Here is a 23,287-nt window from a genome sequence, read left to right as displayed (position 1 = left end):
CGGGTAATGAGAACAGGATATTACAGCAGTCTATTCCTTTTGAGAGTTTTTTTGAGTCATAATTTTAAGGAGATTTGAAATCAGGAAGAGTGAACTGGTCACATTCCAATACAGCCATGGTTAATTTACCTATGTTGCCTAAGCGTAGGCTGCATTTATATGGTGTGATGATTTCCTTCTCATCCCTCTGGCAAGAAATATTTATTGCATAATCTGCTATAGCACCCCAAAATTCAACATCAGCTATCATTTTGTTTTTCAACTTTTTTGAACTGCAAGGCTTATTAATTGAAATATCAGTATCTCTTACAGGAATGTTATAATAGTCGGAAAATAAAGGACATGATGTCTGAGGACCGGAGCTAGGTGAAATGAGGGAAAAGCCACATTTGTTTAAAAGAAAGCAAAATGTTGAAGATAAACTTCACACGCCGACCTGAGGCTTAGTGCTAAACAAAAGTGGAGTGAATGTTGCAAGCGTGGTAATCCACATGGATTTTACATCTAGGCATCTTAAACCCGACTTTTCAAGTCTCACTGGGATGAAAACAAAGCTATTTTATTCTCCTGGAAGTCCTTTCACCTCTCCTCTGTCTCTCTCAAAATCATTCCTTCATGCTGCAGGGTGAAGCAGAAACGGAGGAGGAGTATTCGCCACTCTCAATTCAGGGTTCAAATAATTATTCAAAATAGTTCCACATATTGTGTGCCTGATCTAAGCATTTTCTTTACACATTTTGTTTCATTCAGTCCCTACAGCAATCATATGTGGTAAACAACACTTTCATTTTCCCCATGAGAGAAGTGAGACAGGCTAATCCTGTGAAAGTTGCAGATACTAGGATGAAATCACTTTTTTGTCAGGCCCAAACACACTAAAGCAAAAAGCCAAAAGGAGGAGTTCATGTTATATGGCTGAGATAAAGACTGTCTCAAGGACTTGCTAAAATAACCTCCCAAGAAATTCTTTCTTTAGGACTACTGCAATTCAGATAAGATGTTCTCAAAAGAATACCGGTTCAGTAATGGCATCTGCAGCCATTACTGGACAGGTATGTCCAGCAATGTAATTAAATTGCCATTCAATTATATTGGCAATTAACTGATGCCAAATCTGGCTCTGAGTGTCCGAAACTAATAAACTCTGTTTCCAAGTACCTTACATGAACTTCCCCCTGTGCCAATAAAACTTCCCTTTACCCTTCCCACTGCGGATGCATATGTGGCTTGCCTTAACTGTGCGTCTTGGGTCATAATCTTCATTTCTACTTCCCAAATACATCCAGCATATTTGAATATATTTTTCTTTGTTGTTGTTTTGTGGGGTGAACAACCCATTGATTTTCTGAAGGTTGCACAGCTAATAAGTGGTGGCATTGAGGGTGGAACCGTGATGGCTTGTCCGCCAAAGTCCATGTCCTTTCATATTGAGTTCCAGGAAATCACCATGATCAGCAGTTTTCCCTGATTGGAAGATCATGTTTCATTTGGTGATCTGAAGTACGTCTTATTCTTGCCATTATTGCCACTTTCATCTTCCACCCTCCAAAATCCATGTTAGCCTTCTTATTTGTCCAGGTTGATTTGCTCTCTGATTTATTCTGTATTTGTATTTATTTCTTTATTATGAGAAGGGGTTGAAAAAAAAATCAAGATCATAGCCATCCTTGGAGAAAAAAAAAAGCTTCAGTGTTAAAATGCTGTAAGCATACAAAGGTATTTTTGACATATCAGAAGTCTGTTTGACTTAGAAGAAAAATATCTAGATACTGAAGTCTTTACAAGAAATCATGAAGAATGGGAGGAAAAAGATGTTTTACAGAAGTAAATGAAAAATCTGACTGGCTATGCATTAAGAATGGTAATGCAATACTAATAGGCCCTGCTCTACAAAGTCATTTTTAAGTCAGCTGCTTTGTTTAATGTTCCAATTTCCGTTTAAATCAATAGCACTTACTTTGCTTTCTTCAGTAGAAGGCATTTGCATTCCAGTAAAACACACACACACACACACACACACACAAACACACACACACACAGACACACACACAAAATTGGGATAGAAATGAGTCAGCCATTTCCTGTCCTAACATCCAAATCCACTTTTCTGAAAACATGATTCAAGCAGTCCAACAATAATTTAATTGGCTGTTCTGTAAATTACAGGGCTGACCACCATATAAACACCAGAGAAATGTACGTGGGTATTAGTCATCAGCTGTCATTTTTCTGATAATCTGAACTTTCTGTGCATAATCATGAAACACAATATTACACAAGATAATGAAAAAGTCTGTTTTCTATGCAAACTTCAACTTCTGTCATTTTTATGCACAATATATATCATAAATTTATGACTCATGGTTAGCACAAGGCATCTGAAATACAACAATTTATCTAATAGGAGTGCTGATGATAACCTCTGATGAAGGGATGGAACCCTGATATAATAAGTCTATTTGATAAATGGTTTAATGATGGTGACAAGGGGATCAATGTGAATTAGAAGGGGATATATGGGCTGCTGCAGGGCTCTCTTTTAGCTGTGTTTTGTTTCATACATTTGTTATGGATCAGATAAAAATAACAAAATAGGTTTATCTTATCTATGATGACACACAATTGAGATAGCTGAAAATAGAATGAATAATAGAGTCAGGATACAAAATATAACATGCCGATGTAACAATCTGTCTCCAACATAGGCAATTCAATTGAGATGACAGTACTGTATTAGTTTCTGATATAAACAAATTTAAGACATCAGTATGGGGAATACATGGTGAATAATATGGAAAGCTGTACCTGTAAAATACTTGGACATTTTGATTTTATAGTCAGCTCACTATTTGCCAACAATGTGTAATGCTGCCACAAAAAGCTGATAAGATTTTGGGTTGCATTAATAGAATTAAAGTATCTGGGTTGAAGGAGGTTTCAGGCATAATTGAAGTCTCCACAAGTTTCTGATCAGAACACATCTTAACCATTAGATTCATTTTGAATGATGGACTTCTAGAATGATACAGGCAAAGTGGAGCTTATTATAAGATCAAGAATGAAGGCAAAATAACTAAATAACAGGTATAACTGACATCAAGATATTTCAACCTGGAAAAAAGAAAATTTAGCATGAGACAAAGACCTAATAGATATCTTGAAATATTTAGATATCTGTCATTTAAAAATTCACAAATGACAAGATGTAGAACAAGGATCTGTGAGTACAAATTCTTTTTTTCTTTTTAGAATTTTTTTTAGAGACTGGGTCTCACTATATTGCCCAGGCTGGCATGCAGTGGCTATTCACAGGCATAATCATAATGCCCTATAGCCTCCAACTCCTGGGCTCAAGCCATCCTCCTACCTCAGCCTCCCAAGTAGCTGAGACTATAAGCATGTACCATGGTGCCCTCAGCAAATGTTTTTACACTCAATAACTGCATGTTCCATTCAACTGCAATTTGAAGAATTATACATTTCAGAGCAATTGTATCATTATATTTAAGATCTTAATAACATTTCCTTTGTTCTTTCATCTTTTTTATAATTGAAGCCTCTTGATGTGCTCACAAGATGCCATATGTTACCATTGCTTCATTTTGTCTTAAAATATTTATTTCTAGCTCTTAGGGACAGGTAAACCAAATAAAATATTTGCATTTAGCTTTCTCTTTTCTTTTATCATAAGCAGGGGACTTCCAAATCATTTCTGATTATAAATGAGAACCTATGTGACTTGTAGTAATACCCTGATATCCTCTTGAAACAATTACTGTGCTTTCTCAAGCCATTAACTTATGACCACAAATGATTATCATTAAATGAGTATCTCGGGGAGACTTGAGAGTATAAGGCTTTATGCAAAAATGTGTAACAGGACTAACTTCTCTAAATGTTATGATCCCACATTCTTTTGATATTTGAGAACTAAATATAATGAACATCATCGGCCCTTGAGACTTTCGGTTTAAGATTTTCCTTTAAAAATAATAGTATTATTCTCTGAGGACATGAGAACAGTATTACTTTATTTAGTTTAAGTGAACCTAAAATAGAGCAGAGGAAATCATTAAATGAGTGAACATATATTTTTCCTTGTTGCCCATTCATGCCAAAACTGATGTGTCTTGAAAGTACAAAATCACTTACAACGGGGAAAATATCTTTAAAATGATTAAACTTATCTTCAGAGAGAGATGCCTAGTAGTCTCAATAATTACCCTGGAATAAACTACAATGCTGATGATTGTATTATGTTCTGCAGTCTTATGAACAAGCAAACATGGTGTTTTATAGCTGCATGAGGAAGGAAGTCTACTGAAAGTAGCTATTAATGTGTCCATTTATATCCCGCCTCCCTGAATAGGCCCCAAATCTAGAGCAAATACAGAGTGGGAAATTTCACTCCCAATTTAGCCCTCTCTCCAAACTCCAGAGGAAGCTGCTCAGCTGGCCTCTCATGCAGTTGAAACTGAGCTGGACAAATTGAGTATGATCAGCCACTGGGCCCACAGCCCAAGCACCAGACTGGAAAAAACATGAGAGAGTAGACTGGACAGACTCTACCTCAAATCAAGAACATTTCAGTGTGAGAAATAAGAGATGCTTTCCCTGGAACTGATGTTGGTCAAGATACTGACAGGTCTTCTTTTAGCAGTTCCAATTCTGGGGAAAATTTCAGAATCTGAACTAGATTCTTAGTTGTTGTTTCAACAGTAGTTACATGTACAGTGAATAGCTGGTTTGATTGAGTTTCTTAGAGCTGCTCCTGACACAATACAATGAGGCAACACTTCATCCTCAGTCTCCCTGAAATTCAAGTTATTCTGCTTTGCTTTAGCCAAGAGAAAAACAGTAATCATCTGCCAACACTGGCAAGAGTAATTAGGGCTTCTGGGAAAATCTCTTTAAGGAAGTATGCGAATAACGGTAAAAAAAAATCTTTGTCATTATTTTGGAAACTGAATTTCTAGACTGAAATTCTGAGATCACTAGCTATTTCTTTTTCAACCCCATATTTTACTCTTGATGAAACTAAGTTTTAAGTAGATAAGATATCTTACTGAACATAACACTGTTAAGTTGTAGAGCTGAGACTAGATCTAGCTTATCATCAGATATGTGGTCCTAGAGAACAGACGGCCGACCAGCCATGATTCACCACTCATGACAACCCGAAACAGTACCTGAACAGTACCTTTTATGGTGGGTGGTGTGTACACACTCTGCTTCCTTTGCTTAGGGGATGCATTCTGTAACTGTGGAGAAAGAGAAAAAAGTAAAAGCCTTAGATTTGGATACAAAGTACGATGCCATCAGACCTGTGAGGGAAATAAATACTGTGCCATGTTATGAAAAGCTTTCTGATTTCTCCCTGTCATGAAATAGAATCTAATTAATGAGAAATTATATACATGTTAGTGATATCACAGACTTAAGAGATACATGGAGTTGTAGGGTCTACTTAATCATAAAATTCTTCATTCATGGCAGCCTTGAAATCATTTTACTTTCCCACCTAATAACATTAATTTATTTTAAAAAGAAAGAGAAAAAGAGACACCAATCCTTTTCATTTGAGAGAAAAACAGTCTGAGTTCCATGACAAAGTATATTCCAAAAGCTATGTCCAGGGAATAATAGTATCTGTTCGTGGGGTTATTGAGTGATTCAAGAGGAACAATGAAGATCCTTGGAAAGTAACAGCAATCTTTAACCCTCTTGAATTGACATGTTCAACTATTACCTCCATTTACTTGGAATTATAATGTTGAGGTAACATTCTTCATATGTTAAAAAAAAAGATAAGTCCTTTCCTAATAAAACTGTTATGTGACACTCTTACCTAAGCATTATTGGATCAGGATAAAGTTATTGAAGAGATTTTGCATTTCAAAATGACAAAAATAAGAACTTATTTCAGGGTCAAAATACAGATAAGGATACAGAGCCCTATATAATGGATATACATATTATTCATTTAATAAATTACATGGTCTAACCCCCAATCGGAAAATGCCAAAGACTCCATTTTAATAGCATGTTGATTTATGTTTTAATGTGGCAAGTGTACGGGTCTTAATCAATGAGTTTTTGCATCTGGGGCAATTATTTTTGCTTTGAAAAGCTCAAGTGTAAATAGTTACAACATACTTTTTGAAGATTGTTCCAGGCTTGCTATGCACATTAGCAAGAACATAATGTACAAAGTTTAAACTAGAAACTGTTTTACAAAGTTGTAAATAGAGCTTGAGGCCTCTTTCCTTGTGCTTGCTAAAGATTAACTGCCCTCAAAGGTATCATCGAGATGTTATTTATCTGATGCAAAAGCAATCAATTAAAAACTAAACCTTTCAACAAAACAGTTACCAAATCCATAGCAGATGAGCAAATAGTGTAAGCAAATTTCTCCAGAATAGAGTTTTGTGATACCTACATACTATGCACAGGTGTAGACAGGGTGACTCTACATTAATGTTAAATATGTGGATGATTGACATTTCTGGGGCACTTCTACTGTTTCAGTCACATCTGGCTGGTTTTGAGAACGAATCAGTTTAGGGATTTTTAATATTTACTTCCATACACATATTTAAAGATCAAATAGAAAATTAAATCTACAGAAATTTTTTTATTGTTGTTGTTTAGTAACACAGTGTAAACTTACTAATAAAAACTAATTTATATTTATGTAAGAGTTTAGTTTTGAAAGCTTTTCCACTTTTACTGTTTCACAAAATTTTCAGAAAAGTCTTGTGATATACTATTTGATATTTTGTCCATTCTACATTTTTCTCTTTAAGTATTGCTGTTTGCCTACACCTACGATCAAGGGAATTGATTAGGTAACCCTGCACAGCATCCTATTCAATATTTATTTCATTTCTGGGAACTAGTTTATTCACTTTGTGTTTCATATATTCTATATTATATGCTCTCCTGGCCTCTCCTGGTTTCTATTTTCTATATAAACTCCTACACATGTATGTGGAGGGAATAGAGAGTGACAGTGTTCAGACAGCCTGCTGAATTTAAATCTGAGTACATTTCTAGGTGAACCCGTTGGATCTGTTTACTCAGGCTTTGGAGACTTCAGTCCCCCTAGACTCTGGCCTCAGACTTTTGGCTCCACATACCAGAAGACCCTGTAAGAGGTGTCATCCCTCCAACCCCATCTCCTTGCTCTGGGGTTCCAGCATTACTTGGCTTAGCCTGTGGTGTGCATATATAATCACTCAATAAATTGAAGTTGTCAATACCACATTTTGCCATTAAAAGTGATGTTTTATTTTAAAAGTTTTTTCAGGGGTTAGCATTACATAGGTAGAGAATAAAGGTAACTGAGAGGCAGAGATTTTAATGACACTATATTACTGTTTATTCAGTCAGAAGGAGCAATCTAAAGTTTTATTACAGTTGTATCATTATTTATATCACATCAAATCAAGCAAATTTTTGCATTTTTAATTGATTTGAACACATTTATACAAAATATTTTTAAAAACTTACTTCCCCTTGTGTGTTGGGCCCCCTCTTGTCATCTATTTCTGTAAGAGAAGTAGGTAGAATGTATTAGGCATGTAATATTCTTTCTTGTAATATATATATTAACATTTTCAACAACACGGATAAAAATGATTTAATAATTGCCTTATACAAAAACTACAACTTACAGCTAAGAAGGAGAGGAGGACAGAGGTGGGTGGTTTCCTTTTGATATAACCTTCTCCCAAAGTTTCAAAAAAGGTATAGAAAAAGCTTTCCTCTTGACATCCCAGATTTCTCACCTTTCAGCAGTCCAGAAAGGGGACCAGGGAAGTGACTCTTGGAACAAAGTTAGGTGTCATCAGCCTCACAGTTAAGGTGTCAGGAACCTCCTCTCCTCTGCCACTATCCATTAATGAGAGCCTTTGTCAAATTTCCTCAAGTTTGTCACTACCCAAATCAAATCTCCTTTCCCACTCAGTCCAATCACCATGACTACAAGGAAGGCAGTATCCTCTCTATATATGTATCTGGAAAGAACTAATTGCTCCATCAAATATTTCTTATGACAGTGCTTGGGTGGCTTCTTATGATTGTGCTGTGTATGAAGGGTTGTGAGGAACGGTGAGATGGAGGAAGAGGTGCTTACACATGCCCCTTCCACAGCAGGAAGATGTTCTGGGCTGGGTTTCTTTTTTACCTCGTCACCTACATTGTATGGCCTCTGCCTCTTGGCTTCTTCACCTAGTTCCTCTTTCCTGATCCTTATGCTAGGCCCAAGGCTCAAAGACTAACCCCATGATCCAAAAACTGAATGAGAAGTTCATCAAATAATATCTGCTTAAAGACAATGATGTAGATCTGTATTGACATGAAAATACATGCTATATAAGTGAAAAATATTTCAAAACTAAATGAATGGTATTTTTATTTAATAAAGGATAGATGTATGTAGATAAAGTGATATATATATGCATAGAAGACTACCAATATGTTAACTGTAGTTATCCTGGGGTGATTGAATAACACATTCTGTTTTATCCCTATCTGTACTGCTTTTCTTTTTATAACAAGCATGTATTACTTTTGCAACAAAAAAGCAGTGTATACATATGTATGTGGATATACATATATATGCACACAAATATATACATATATGTAGTAGAATTTCTCTATAAATCCAACCATGCCTGAAGTTGATATTTCATATAGTAAGAGAACAAACTGGCTAAACAGCTAGAATGGGAATAGTATATGGAACCATTGTTTATTCTAATCTGATATCTTGCTTACTAAATGTTAAAAAGTTATGGAAACTTCTGATACATTGTACTTTCTTTATATAAGGGAGGACAGACAGTTTAGTATGGCAATCACAAGTGTCTGATGCAATGACTGTAAGTATGTGGGGCATTTTCAGGCAGCTATGGATATACTAAATTGAACAATCCTGTCTATCAATGTGCACTATTTTTTGCTATCACATTATTATTAAATATCAAATATGATCCACTGTAACAATGTACTGTGATCCATTGGATGATTAAATGCCAGTGGGGTTCCTTAATATTTTGCTTTTGATTAGGAGTTTACAAAATCCAACCCAGGACCTATAACTTTATGTTTTAGAAACACAATGGGATCTGATCATTCAGATTTTTACTTTCCCTACTGTCTCACTACAATGCCCACTAAAACAGTGTTTTCCCAAGGCAATTATGAGGGCCTCACTGTTAAATATTTCAATGAAAAAAGGTTTGTTTTGTTGTTGTTGTTGTTGTTGTTGTTGAGTTCTGCTGATAAAATCAATTATTTATGTCGTGAAGGCAAGGATTAAAAAAATTCAGTCTTATATTCTTGTCTTGAAATTGAAAAGTGAAAATTAAATAACTAACTTTTCAGGTCAAATTGACTCAGACAAAGGTACAACGGAAGCCAATAACAGATCATAGTTGCCAGCTCTTTAAACAAAAACATCAAAATGTTCTTAATAATGTCTCCTTTTTTTTCCCTCAGGGCCTCAAATTCTGACCCCGTTGGCAGTCCCAGAAGTCTTTAGGAAACTGGATCCCACATGAAGCATAAGAATATACCCCTGTCTTCAAATATTGTTTAGCTCTCTCATCAAACCAGAAAAAAAAAATACTATTTTGGAGTAGGGTTGAACAAAATCAGTGTGTTAGTAGATTACCCATAATCAAAAACTATAAATTTTCTGAAAGAGGCTTTTGTAGCTATTCCAGCCATATCTTGTCTATATTTCTCCATTTCTCAAGGACCACTTAGTCTGAAAGAAGAAATTTCTTGGTTTGGGAGGAAAATGTAAAACTCATCTAAGTATAACATTTTAAGAAATATTGTCATCATTAAAGATGAAGATAGAAACAGAAATTTCTGTTTTGAGTATTGATTAGTTAGAATGCCCTTAAGATATTTAAATTCATGAAAGGAACAGGACAAACTGAGAATGCATGTGGATACACACGTGAACTACAAACACCCAGCGTCTCCTTGTCTTTGTCAATGAGATCTCATTCAATTTTGGAAAACTAGTTGTAATAAAAAATTAAATGCCTACAAAAATGAAGTGTAAGAGCAAAGGAAACAAAAAGAACATTGTCAAAAAATAAGGAAAAGTGAACTATAATAGAATGAGAACTATAAAAACTAAGAAACGGGCAGAATGCAGAGACAACGCTAAGGAAAGCCTAAAGAGCCATGGTTGAGGCTGGCAGAAAAATCTGTCTTGGAGAAAGCACTGTAGAGCATACATAATATCTAATACTGTTTCTTCCATTTGTCTGTCGTGACCACACTTAAGCCACGTAAAATTCCTGAATTACAGAGTTTTCCTCATGTGTGAAATGGGAAAGAGGAAGCATAATAATTCTTACTCTGCCTTCCTCATTTTCTCATAAGTTTGTTTTGAGGAATAAAAAAATGAAAAAATGAGAGCACAATTTCCCACTCCTTAAGTACAGACTATAACTTCCCTCCAAAGAGTGCAGTATGGAAAAGGAGCAGGAGGGAATGAGTATCTTTATGGTGGGAAACTTAATTCTGCCAGGTGACCAAGGGCAACACAAGTCATAAATCATGTTGATCCCTTGCTATGATGCTATGAAGACGAGACTTTATATCAATGATCTTCCTCCTCAAACCCCTTAAGCCTAGTCTAGTCATGAGAAAAACATCAGATAAATCCCAATACAAGGGCATTGTACAAGATTGCTGACTAGTACTCTTCAAAACTGTCAAGGTCATGAAAAACAAGAAAAGTCTGAGAGACTGTCATAGCCAAGAGGAGCCTAAGGAGACATGACAATTAAATGTAATGAGGTATCCTAAATGGGATTCTGGAACAGAAAAAAAGGCATTATAAAACTATCTCAATAAACTATGGGTTTCAGTTAATTAAAAAAATCATTATTGGGTTATTAATTGTAACAATTAAATAGTAATGACTTAGAATATTAAGAATAGGGAAACTGTGTGTGAAGAAGGTGCTCCATGGGACTCAATGTGCCCTTCGTTCAATTTTTCCGTAAATCTAAAACTCTTTAAAAAAATTAAGCCCATTAATAAAAACTTGAAAAATAAAAAATCACTAAATCCAAATAAAATCACCCTAAGAGTACATTTTTGTTCTTACTGTCAGAATTCTGCGTGTATTTTGAAGAGCAACAGAGAGTCATGATTAGAAAGTAGACAATGTAACTAAAAACAAGGTCATGAAAATATCATTTAAAAGTGTTATATAGGGCCAATTAAAGAGGTATAAGGAAGGGCAAGAGTGAGCTTACAAAGAGAATATTTCAAAGTTTAGTTGAAGTTGTTGAAAGCTGATGCAAGTAAAAATGTGTTAGAGGAAAAAATGGGGAGTTAAACAATTTTCAAATAAGTCCATAATGATGGGAGCACTTTACCTTGATTTACTTACTGACTGAATGTGGGGAGATAATGGAACAAAGCATAAAATAAAATACCACTAGTATCTGTTTGATTATACATATCCCCCAGCTTGCTGCTTCTGTGCATTTATTCCCCATATCCAGAAAACTCCTGCCCTCATACCAAATACTACTATCCCTCAGAGTTCTGTTCAAACAGCATTTCCTCTGGGAAATCTTTCCCAATTCATGTCTCTCCTATGCTCAATTGGAACTCATCTCTTCCCCAACCAACACCCACAGCACTTCCTTTACTCCTGTCTCATAGAACTTATCACCATATTCCCTATATCATGTCCATTAGTGTTTTTATCTCCCCAGGCAACCTGCAAAAGAATGAGGATTATCCTCTATGTTTGATTTTTCCACATCTCTGAGCACAATAGCATAGCTGACACACAATAACAACCTGTCAAATAAATTTATCTTAATGCCTATGTTTCATAAAACCAGACCATCTGTTTGCTGCTTCTCTGCATTCCAAATTACAATAGTAGTGCAATTATTTGCTCATAGTAGGTGCTAAATACATACTTTTAACAATTTTTAAGTGTTCAGTTTGCAAACTTTTTAAGGCAGAATCCATTACTTCCATTTTTAAAAATCAATGTACTAGGTTCAAATGCTACAGACACTCAAATTCTTATAAATATTGCCTAAGTGGCTCAAAGGGAATCTTAGAGGAAAAATAAGGATGTATGACTTCCCTCTGTTGGTTTCTAGAGATTGAGAAGATATCTATTTCAAGTACAATATGTATAAGACAAATTAAAAATAAGCGGTAGGCAAGGTCAAATCAAACATATAATTTTACAGAAACTAGCCTTAGACAATAACTAAAACCATGGAAAGGAATGATTTATTCTGGATATTGGCTGCTAAAGAGCACTGACCCATATATAGAATGCTTTGGTAAGAAGAGACTCAATTTCTTAGACTAAACCCCAAAGATACAGACTTTTGATGAATTTAGATAACAGAGGGTCACTTGAATCTTCATTTTAGGCACCTATTTTGGAAATGTGAGGAAAAAAGTCAGTTTAGTGGAAATTGGAGGGCTTCCAATAAAAACAGTCTTGTAAATTCATTCTTTGAAGACTCTTCTGCTCAAAAGCAATAGCAATGGCAGACTAAATACAAAAAGAGATGACTAAAAAGATAGAGCCACAGTCAAAAATTAGTTAAACATCTCCAAGGACCATAAATACAAGAAAAGCAAAATGCAATAAGCAGGTTGGAAACCATGGGGCCTGAAAGTCTTTAGATCCAGAAGTCGACTGAGGCAACTAGAACTTCTAATCTCTCAGCAGAACTGACTTCGTGTGAAAGACAAAGGCCAGACTTGCTGCCTGGAAGTGGAAGCAGGGCTCTCTCATCTGTGTTGAGAAAGGCACTCATCTGTGTATCTAGCGAGACGGGAGAAAGTGGTCATTTTAGAACAAGCCACCACAAGCCAGGTAAGTGCCTCTGCTTTACTTCTAGTATCATCATAAAACAGGAGTCCTTGATGTCCCAATTAGGATCTCATTCTAGATGACAAGTATATAGTATTGAATAAAGAAAGACTCAAGAACATTAACAAGGAAGAATGAGCATAAAGGAGAGAAAACTCCCATTCACAAGGAGTTGAAAATTAAAATTTCAAAACATAAGAAGAAAATGAAAATTCTTTTTTAGGAATGCTGCTTAAAAAGCAAGTGGAAGATGAATTCTTCCAGGTGAAATGAAAACATCAGAGCAATTTGAAAACATCAAAGCAGTTTTAAAATGTCTCTAAAATGCATATATTTTGGACTTACAAAGAGATGAAGAAGAAAGCATAATTTCTCATGAGAAATCATGAAGCCAGAAGGAAGCAGCACAACGGTCTTCAAGTACTGAACAAAATGAACTATCAACTGTAGAATTCAATATTCAGTAAAATCATCCTTTAGGAATGAAAGAGAAATAAAGTTTTTCTTTATCCACCATTAGACAAAGGAAACCAAGAGAATTTGCCAGTAGCAGATATACCCTCACTAGCAGATATACCCTAAATGAATGGCAAAGGAAGTCCTCTATAACCAGAAGAAAAAGGATTGAAAAAAGGAGTCTTAGAACACCAGGAAGAAAAGAAGAATAATGGAAAAAGCAAAAATGTGAGTAAATATCATAGATTTTGCTACCTCTCTTGAATTGTCTACATTATGTTTGCCAAGTAGATAAAAAATTATGGTTCTCAACCTATATAGAGGGAATATTTAAGACAATCATATAAGTAAGAGATGGTAAAGAGACTTAGAGGGAAGTAAAGACACTTAGAGGGAAGTTTCTATACTCTGATAAAAGTTGGCACCAGCAAACTGTGATAAGTATGTATGCATAATAGCACAATTGCTAAAAATCCATACAAAGAGATACACTCAGAAATGTTACAGATACATCAAAATGGAATTATAAAAATGTTCAAGTAACCTAGGCAAAGATAAAAAAAAAACCAGAAACTAAAAACAAAATGACAACTGGAAAACTAAAATGGTAGATGTAAGTCCTAACATAGCAGTAATTATATTAAATATAAATGGCCCAAGTAAACCAATTAAAAAACACACTGGGCCAGGTGTGGTGGCTCATGCCTGTAATCCCAGCACTTTGGGAGGCCAACGCAGGTGGATCACCTGAGGTCAGGAGTTCGAGACCAGCCTAGCCAACATGGTGAAACCCTGTCTCTACTAAAAATATGAAAATTAGCCAGGTGTGGTGGCACACACCTATAATTCCAGCTACCAAGGAGGCTGAGGCAGGACAGTCACTTGAACCCAGGAGGCAGAGGCTGCAGTGAGCTGAGATCATACCACTGCATTCTAGCCTGGGTGACAGAGCAAAACTGTCTCAAAAAGAAAGACACACACACACACACACTTACACACACACATTGGCACAGTGGATAAAAATCAAAATAATCTAACTATACACAAGGGCATTATGTTGAGTGAAAAAAAAAAGCCAATTTCAAAAGGTCACATACTGTGTAATTCAATTCATATAACATTCTTGAATGACATTTTGTTATTCAAGATGGAGAAGAGATTAGTAGTTGCCAGGGATCAAGAATAGTGAGAGGAGGAAGGAGTGAGTATAAATATAAAGTAGTAGCAAGAGGGAGATCTTTGTGGTGATGGAATAATTCTATTTGATTGCCATAGTAGGTATACAAATCTACATAAGAGATAAAATGCCATAAAACTATAAGCACACATTGTACTCATGTCAATTTCATGGTTTTGTTATTGTACTATAAATGTTACCATTACAGAAAACTCAGTGAAAGGAACCTGGAACCTCTCCAGGCTATGTTTAAAACTTTCTGTGAATCTTTTATTTCCAAATTAAAAGTTAAAAGAAACAAATTATGACAACAAAAATTCAAGATTGGAAATAATTTAAGAGAAAATTAATACATCAAAAATGTTACTGAGAAATTTACCCAAATCCAATACCAAAATATAAAGATATAAAATACATGAAACAAAGGTAAACAGACATAAGGAAGAGATTAAAGAATCTGGCCGGGGGTGGTGGCTCACGCCTGTAATCCCAGCACTAATCCCAGAGGAAAATATAAAATTAGCCGGGCGTGATGGCAGGCACCTGTAGTCCCAGCTACTCAGAAGGCTGAGGCAGGAGAATCACTTGAACCTGGGAGGCGGAGGTTGTGGTGAGCTGAGATCACACCACTGCACTCCAGCCTAGGCAACAGGAGCAAAATTCTGTCTCAAAAGAATAAATAAATAAAATAAATAAATAAATAAATAAAAATCTGCAAAATCATATAAAAGAGCAGATTTAGAATGAGAGGATAAAAGAAATGTTAGAAAATGTTTTATAAGTGAAGAGATACATAAATATTATAAATAAAACAGATGCCAAGAAAGTTAATGAAAATAACTCTACGCCCAGACCATGGAAGTAAAAGTTTATAACATCACATTTAAAGAGAAATCTTAAGGGTAATGAGAGCTAGAAAGGACAATTATTAACTGTGGAAAAATCTCACCTGCAATAACAAATGGCAAAGGCAAAGGCATGGAAGTAAACAAAACTATTTTTCTACCCACTAAGTTGTATTCAAAAATGACAAAATACAGCCATTTTCAGACAATCGAAAAAGATCAATAGTTACAATGACCTTTATTTTATCAATGAATAAGATCAACTTATATTTATACATTCCAAAGTGTTTAAAAATAAAAGATCAACTATTCGCTCAAAGTGAATAAAACAAATATTTGTACATTGTATAAACCCTTTAGCTGAAAACATTTTTCACCACAACTAGATTATACATCTTCAAACAGAATGGAAGATGGAGGAAACTGCAGACAATTGTTTCCAAAGCTAATTTTGTCCTACTCTAAGAGCAGAATTGGTTTGTTTTTCATACTAATATCCTTCTTGAACGGATGAAATTATCAACATAAAAGTCCTTTCTTTTAAAAACATACACTTTTGTTTTGTGTACTAAGCCTGTTTTTCTTGGTTCCAAAATAACTTCAATTTCCTCCTTATTCTGAATATTTGGTGAGTACCAAGAAACAGAAAATTTCTTTTTAAAAGGGAAACATATTGCCATATTTTGTTTAGAATTCAAACATACGATTTTTTTTTCTTGGCTCACTCATTTGGGAGCTATTCTAATGAGCTGACAGGAAGTCAGTCTATTTTAGTCATCTGTCAATAAATTATGATTTTATTTTACTAAAAATATTCAAACATGTTAATAAAAATTGTATGTTTTGTGATTTCGATTAATTTTACAACAAAAGGTTAAAACACAAATACTAATCCTAAGATTAAGTGGATAATATCTTTTTCTTAATTTACAACAGGGCAAGTTGAGCAGTGAAGTGGCAGCCTGCTGTGTTGGGGTGATGGCCTCACTTTTGTCATATTAATGTGAGATACATAAGCAGGTGAGTGTCAGAGGAGAATGTAGGATTGTGGGCAATCCTAAACCAGTTAGTTAGGTAGAATTCACCGAAATCGAATTAAATTTCACAAAACTACCATTGCTGTGTGGGATGATATGACACACAAAAGAAATAAACTTGATTATTTCACTTATCAAGGCATTCCTTTGGCATTGTCTAAAAATAACTATTAGCTGATAGAGCCAAGCATGTCTGCTCTAACAGGAGAAAGGAAATTGAGATTTCCCAATATTCTTTTCTTGCCATGACAGAGACTAGATTTGTGTTCAATGATACGTGTTTTTCTCACCATTCCATTGACACTTTTTTAATCTGATGATTTACTTTTATCCCATCCCTTAAAACTAATCCTAGGAAAGAGGTTAGAGAAATTTCCTGAATTACCTGGAGCCACAAAGAAAAACTAAAAGCTAAGTTTTTATTTATATTGCTAGCATTTTTGTTAGATACAACGGTATTTGATACCTTTTAACTTCTATCAAATGTATTATTTAAAAATCATCAATCTAGAATTGATGCTTAATAATTTTGTCAAAAATATTAAGTATTAATCATTGTATTATCATGATTTTTTTTTTTTTGAGACAGAGTCTCACTGTGTCGCCCAGGCTGGAGTGCAACGGCGCGATCTCAGCGGCTCACTGCAACCTCAGCCTCCTGGTTCAAGCAATTCTCCTGCCTCAGCCTCCTGAGTAGCTGGGATTGCAGATGCGCACCAGTATTATCACAATTTAAAAAAGGGTTTTGTAAAATATTAACTCTCAATCTCCACTAAACCTAAAACATCTCATATACACTCTAATATCAAAAAACAAATGGTTTAACTGTATTTAAACAGTGGGAATAAACATAGAGAGGTCATTATGTCAATATCAAGTTCACTCTAATGTGTGAGTAAATTTTATGATTAAGAAGTGTTGTCTAATTGTTTTCTAAGGCAGTGGGACTCACCTAGCACAGCTGTGAAAATTCCACATCTTTTCACACTGAAGTTTAAATTGAAAAATAGAGGCCATGTAAGTTTATGAAGTATGGTGATAAAGTTATTTCGTGACCGTTTTTTTTAAATGTCTATCAATGGAAATACTGTAACTGATGTGGTGGTAATATTTAGCTACCAGAAAAAAACCATGGCTAAGCCTTATGAATATTATCACTTCTCCCTGTATAGGCCTGCACTGGAAAAGTCATTCATTCAACTACAGTATTACACCTCTCATGGTAACCATTACTGGAGGCTGATTCTTTACCTCTCCACCTCCTTTAATCTGTAACAAGAGAGTGATGGCTACAATTCCACAGACTTTAAACACTGGTCAGCATTTAAGTTTTTCTTCTATCTTTCAGGAGGCACTAAGAACATATTTTGCACAAAAAACACTAATAAGATTGCAGAATAAAAGTCTCAATCATGCATATATTCTTTCCCCACTTCTTTTACTCTTCTGTTGAGTTAGTGCTTAAAACAAAATACCGCACCTTTCTCCATCAATTTCCTCCATGAAATTCAAAGTATTCAGGTGAGGATAGGTTATTTTCACATCCAGCCTGTGTATCTCGCTGCATCATGAGAAGCTCAGCTGCTGCTGTTGTTTTGTTTTTGTCTGAAGGCAGGATGTGTTTGATTCTCTTTTTAAAGTTACTCAAGAGAAAATGTTGACTGCTGTAATAAAAATCTGGATGAAATTGTAGTACAATGTGTTCTGAGACTCATACTCTAGGAAATGTATGCAGAGTACACTGAGATTAATAAATGAAGTGGAAAAATCTTCTATATTAAAATGTTTTTCTCTTGAAATTTCCTGTCAGTTTTGCATGTGTTTTATACTGTGCTTTTTGCCGAAGTTTAAGTATTGGCTTGTGGATGACAGGTGAACAGATATGACTGAGGTAAGATTAGTGTTTAATTTGGCTAGGATCTGGAAGAATCAAATAAATAGGCAAGGCTGTGAAATCAGTGGATGACTTATTGCTACAGTGTGACACTATGATCAGAGAACCAGGTAAGGCTGGCATCTGAGCAGGTAGTCCTGACATGCTGTTCAGAATTAACACATGAACAGAATACACAAGCAGAGGCTTGGAGGGTGGAGAGTGGGCTGCAGAGGCAGCACTTTTGTATCCAAAAGACCAAACTGAAATAAAGTCAGCAGATGGAGTGGAGTTCTGAGAGATAATTTAGTCCTAAAGACCAAAATTAGGCTTTTTAAAGAACGGTACAAGATAGCAAGGTGGTATAAACAGATGGTGAAGATAAACTTCTATGAAATCAAGCATTAGCATCAGAGACACAGCCACTGACAGCCTGGCTGTGAGAGGAGAATAGTTACTAGAAAACTGAGTAGAAACTATAGGGGATAATCTATATAAAACTAGGAAAGTAAACAAACAAAAAACTTGCCTTGATATTAAATTTTGCAGTTTTGCTTGAAGTAGTATGGATCGGTTTACAGCAGGCCAATGATATTGTTTAACAGAACTATAAAAATAGGATAAATTATAAAAGACAGCAAGACCTGACAAAGCAAAGAAAACTACAGAGAGCAGAGACATTCAGAACTAGAGGCTCACTATTCAAATTTGGCCTCTGGCAGAGCCCCACTACAGGAGAACAGAAAATCCACAAGATATTTTGGCAATTGTGTAATACTAGAGTGATAAAATTGAAGACTTCAGGGAATTAAAACATGCAATTTGTCTCTGCCTTAAGACATTTGAGAGTTTCTGAAGCTATACTGGGTAAGTGAATAAATAATATGGAAATCTCTTGAAAACAGAACGTAAATTTAAAAAATACAAAGACCACAGACCATTAGTTGAAAGGCCTAGAAAATATACAAATCAGAGGTAAACTGAATTGTATTAAAACTAAAATTGGGACTTTCCTAGCACAATTTATTATTGGAATACATGATCAGTTTCCTATTTTGCCTCACAGAGGAAAAGGTAAACCCCTGCATGTTTTGGGGCCTGAAAGAATGCTTAGCATATCTCTCAGTTTGATGTTCCACCCCTCTGTGTAATAAGTTGAATAGTATCCCAGTTTGCAGCCAAGGGATTATATTCAGCCAAGGCTGCAAACTGGGACACTATTCAAAACCTTAGTATATTTTCATTAGCTTTTGTTTATAATCTTTTCCTGCACTATTTTGTGGGAAAAAAATAATTGTGTAGAGAAGTAGCAACGGAGAAAAACAATTTATGTTCCTCTTTTTGAGGTGCCCTAGAGAGATTTTTTTTTTTTTTTTTTTGAGATGGAATCTCATTCTGTTACCCAGACTGGAGTGCAGTGGTGGCATGATCTTGGCTCATGGCAACCTCCACTTCCCAGGCTCAAGTGATTCTCCTGCCTCTGCCTCCTAAGTAGCTGGGACTACAGGCACCCGCCACCACACCCAGCTCACTTTTGTATTAGTAGAGATGGGGTTTCACCATGTTGGCCAGATTGGTGTCGAACTCATGACCTCAGGTGATCCGCCTGCCTCAGCCTCCTAAAGTTCTGGGATTACAGGCGTGAGCCTCCATGCCTGGCCTGCCTCAGAGATTTAATCATAAGGACATCGGTGCTATCTTTGACAGTCTCCAAAGGAATTTACCATCAGATCTCTGAAAACAACAGTGAAATCTCAATTATCACATTTCAGCAGATTCTCCATTTTTGTATCCAACATGTTTCCCATCCAACTACTCACCAGGCTCAACACTGCTTAGCTTCCAAGATCAAATGAGATGGGGCGCTTTCAGGGTGGTAGGGCAGTAGACTGTATCTAACATGTTTGAAGGTAGAATCTCTTTCTTTACAGCGACCTTTGGATTACAACTATTGACTAGGTCATCTACAGTTGAACAATATAAGGAGGGGACAAAAACAAAAAATTCCATAGAAGGCTTTAGATCTACTAATTCAATACAATCATTGACCCATGAGCCTTCAGAATTGAATGGGAATAAATCAAAGAGAAATGAAAGAAATTGTTATGCACAGCTCAATTTCATTTTGCATGTATATTTGCCATTTCCTTGTGTTATTAGCATTCTAGCATAAAATCAATCTGTTCAAAGTGCCAGAGAAATCTATCATGTATTTCTTACGTATAGCAGAGGATTAGAATTATAATTTCTTTTTAGTAAGGCTAAATGTAATAGGGCTATGAAAATCTCCTAAGCCAGCTATAGTGAAGCCTGTCTTCCTGACTTATCAAACTCTCCCCTTTCCAAAATGAGCTGTGCTTATAAGCCCTTTGCTGGGCTCCGTTGAAGGCCTATCATTTGGGGCTTCACGTTAAGCCACTAGGTAGTGGTTTCAGTTGTGTTTTTCTTTGAGTTCTTAGAGTTAGTCAAAACTGGGGCCCAAACTGAAACCACCAGAATAATAAAGTTATATGCACTGGAAAGGGGAATGTGGAGAAAAGAAGAAAATGGTAAGAATAGTTTTACCCTGTTGTGCCAAGATTCACACAGCTGTATTTTTCTTTCAATATTATTTATAGCTTTCCATTTTAAATGATGAAAGTGGGAACACAACCTCATTACTTAATAGATTTTTATCTCTCTGAACCCCCTAAAATGGCTCATTTTAGGGGATGCCAATAAGAACCTGGTATAAGATATTCTCTGTGGAAATAGTGGTAGAAATGACAAAGAAAACACAAGATGGATTATGTTGATTTATTCAAAAAGAACTCTCAACTAGTAATTATCTCATGATTCAGGTTGGAAATCTTCCAAACTACCTTTCTGCTTATATTTCATAATTTCTGCTGCCACTTCCAAGCACAGTAAAAGAAGAGCAGAAAAAGCAGATTATTTGAAACCTCAAGAGTCTGCTTTTCATTAGTATTCTCAATTTTTATGAACTTAGTTTCTCTTATAAGACATATTTTATCCTACCACACAACCATTTTATATGAGAGCCAAAGAACTATTGCATCATCTTATCAGTAGTGATTTTTCAATCACTGGTACAATTTTTTCTGCCTTCTTGGAGTTTGAATTTGCCAATTTGCTCCAGAAAAATAAGTTGGTTCACTTAATGGATGGGTTTTCTTTGGGGATGACATCAGTTTAAACAGCAATATTTATTCCAGTAATTCTAGTTTTTTAAAAAAGTGTATCTTCTTTTGAGTAGAGAACTGATTGTAAACATACTTTTAACATAACTTTTACAGATTAGAAATAATTATTAGATGTTTTAGGCAATGTTGGAAAACTAATGATGTAATTATTCAATGTGCATTTAATCCTTTTCCAATAATATATTTTTATGTCATTTTGATCTATAGATTCCTTTAAATAGGATTTGAATAATTTAGGTGTTAGTCATTTTAAAACACTAATATTTCATTTTTCTACATAAGATATCACAAAAGTATTCTCATCAGAGTCTCCAAATAAAGTCTTATGACCAATTTCCTTACAAGTAGAAGTAGGGGAAATAATTGAGGTGAGCATGAGAAAATTATTCAAACGTTAACAATTTGAATGATGATGACAGGAAATTTTGAGAGCATTCACTTTAAAGATGGTTCTGAGAGGCACTGGAATTAGAATAGAATTAGCTGCTTACCACTATTTGAAATATTTAGTTCTCTTTTTACTTCACAGAAACGTTTTCTTTTTTTTTCCACATAGGTCGCTAACATTGACAGTGACTTACTAAATCTGCTTTGTAACTTGCATTAGTCAGCCAGAGCACATGTAACAGATTTTCATTTCTAGAGAAGATATTGGAATATAAAGGTAAACTTGTAAAATATTTCTTTATATATTGTACATTTAATTACTTGCCATGATTGTCCAACTTAAAATTATTATCAACGTATTTCTTTCTTTTTTTTTTTTTTCTTGAGACAGAGACTCGCTCTGTTGCCAGGCTGGAATGCAGTGGCGCAATCTCGGCTCACTGCAACCTCCACCTCCTGGGTTCAAGTGATTCTCCTGCCTCAGCCTCCCGAGTAGCTGGGATCACAGGCGCATGCCACCACGTCAGGCTACTTTTAGTATTTTTTTTTTTTTTTTTGAGTAGAGACGAGGTTTCACCATGTTGGCCAGGAAGGTCTCGATCTCTTGACCTTGTGATCTGCCTGCCTCGGCCTCCCAAAGTGCTGGGATTACAGGCATGAGCCACTTCGCCTTTGAATTGCTAGTTAATAATTTCTATGACTAATTTGGGGATTATCATTCATGTATAAAAACTGAAGCAAAGCTATGTTTAATATTGGGTTTCACAGAGAGTGGAACAGTGGTTACTAGGGATGGGGTAAGGGCAGGGGGAATGGGATGATATAGGTCAAAGTACAAAGTTGCATTATGTAGGTTAAGTAAATCTAGAGAACTAATGTACAACAGGAGGTCTATAGTTAATAATGTATTCACACTGGTACTTTGCTAAGAGAGTAGATTTTAGGTACTCTTACCATGAAATAAAGGAGGAAAGGAAGGAAGAAGGAAGGAAGGAAGGAAGGAAGGAAGGAAGGAAGGAAGGAAGGAAATGTAGGAGGGGAGAGAAAGAAAAAAGTAACTATATGAGATACTTGGTTTGTTAATTTGCTTGATTGTAGTAAACACTTCACTATGCATATGTATATTAAGGTAAGTATATCAAAACATCATGTTGTATATTTTAAATATATATACAGTAAAAGGTAAAATAAAATTAGGTTTCATTGTATTCTTATAAAGACAAATATGATTGGATATTTGATAATTTTGAAGCTTTTCTACTTTGATCAAATTGCCAAATCACAGAATTGCTCATTTAAGTCATATTCTTATTTTATAGCTATGCTATTTTATATCTTGCATGGATGAATCATTTATTTTTTCCAAACCCTTTTGCATTTTGAACTGTGTAGATATAACCATTGCAAATTTCAAAAT

At 35.3% G+C, this 23,287-nt stretch overlaps 1 protein-coding gene, 1 long non-coding RNA gene and 1 pseudogene across 7 annotated transcripts in view; 1 reads left to right on the top strand and 2 right to left on the bottom strand.

Moving 5' to 3' along the window:
* Nucleotides 1–23,287, bottom strand: part of PPP1R1C (protein phosphatase 1 regulatory inhibitor subunit 1C) — a 176,906-nt gene that overhangs the window by 62,394 nt on the left and 91,225 nt on the right. For all 6 annotated transcript variants that reach the window (NR_048567.2, NR_048566.2, NM_001261424.2 and 3 more), the window contains 2 exons: nucleotides 7,513–7,550; nucleotides 5,201–5,261 (listed from right to left, as the gene is read on the bottom strand). Coding sequence is in view for 4 of the 6 variants with exons in the window: in NM_001261424.2 (NP_001248353.1) it covers nucleotides 5,201–5,261; nucleotides 7,513–7,550 (99 nt within the window). In the remaining 2 variants the exon portion in view is untranslated. The remainder of the gene's footprint in view (nucleotides 1–5,200; nucleotides 5,262–7,512; nucleotides 7,551–23,287) is intronic.
* Nucleotides 9,625–18,206, top strand: LOC102724288 (uncharacterized). The gene is made up of 3 exons (XR_001739816.2): nucleotides 9,625–13,576; nucleotides 16,307–16,390; nucleotides 16,997–18,206. It is a non-coding gene; the product is annotated as an uncharacterized LOC102724288 (long non-coding RNA).
* On the bottom strand, nucleotides 20,087–20,170 carry RNA5SP113 (RNA, 5S ribosomal pseudogene 113; annotated as a pseudogene).

This window comes from Homo sapiens, chromosome 2, assembly GCF_000001405.40.
Source record: "Homo sapiens chromosome 2, GRCh38.p14 Primary Assembly".
NCBI lineage: Eukaryota > Metazoa > Chordata > Mammalia > Primates > Hominidae > Homo > Homo sapiens.
The sequence above is the reverse complement of the archived record's forward strand: the minus strand, read 5'-3'. Positions and strand labels throughout refer to the sequence as shown.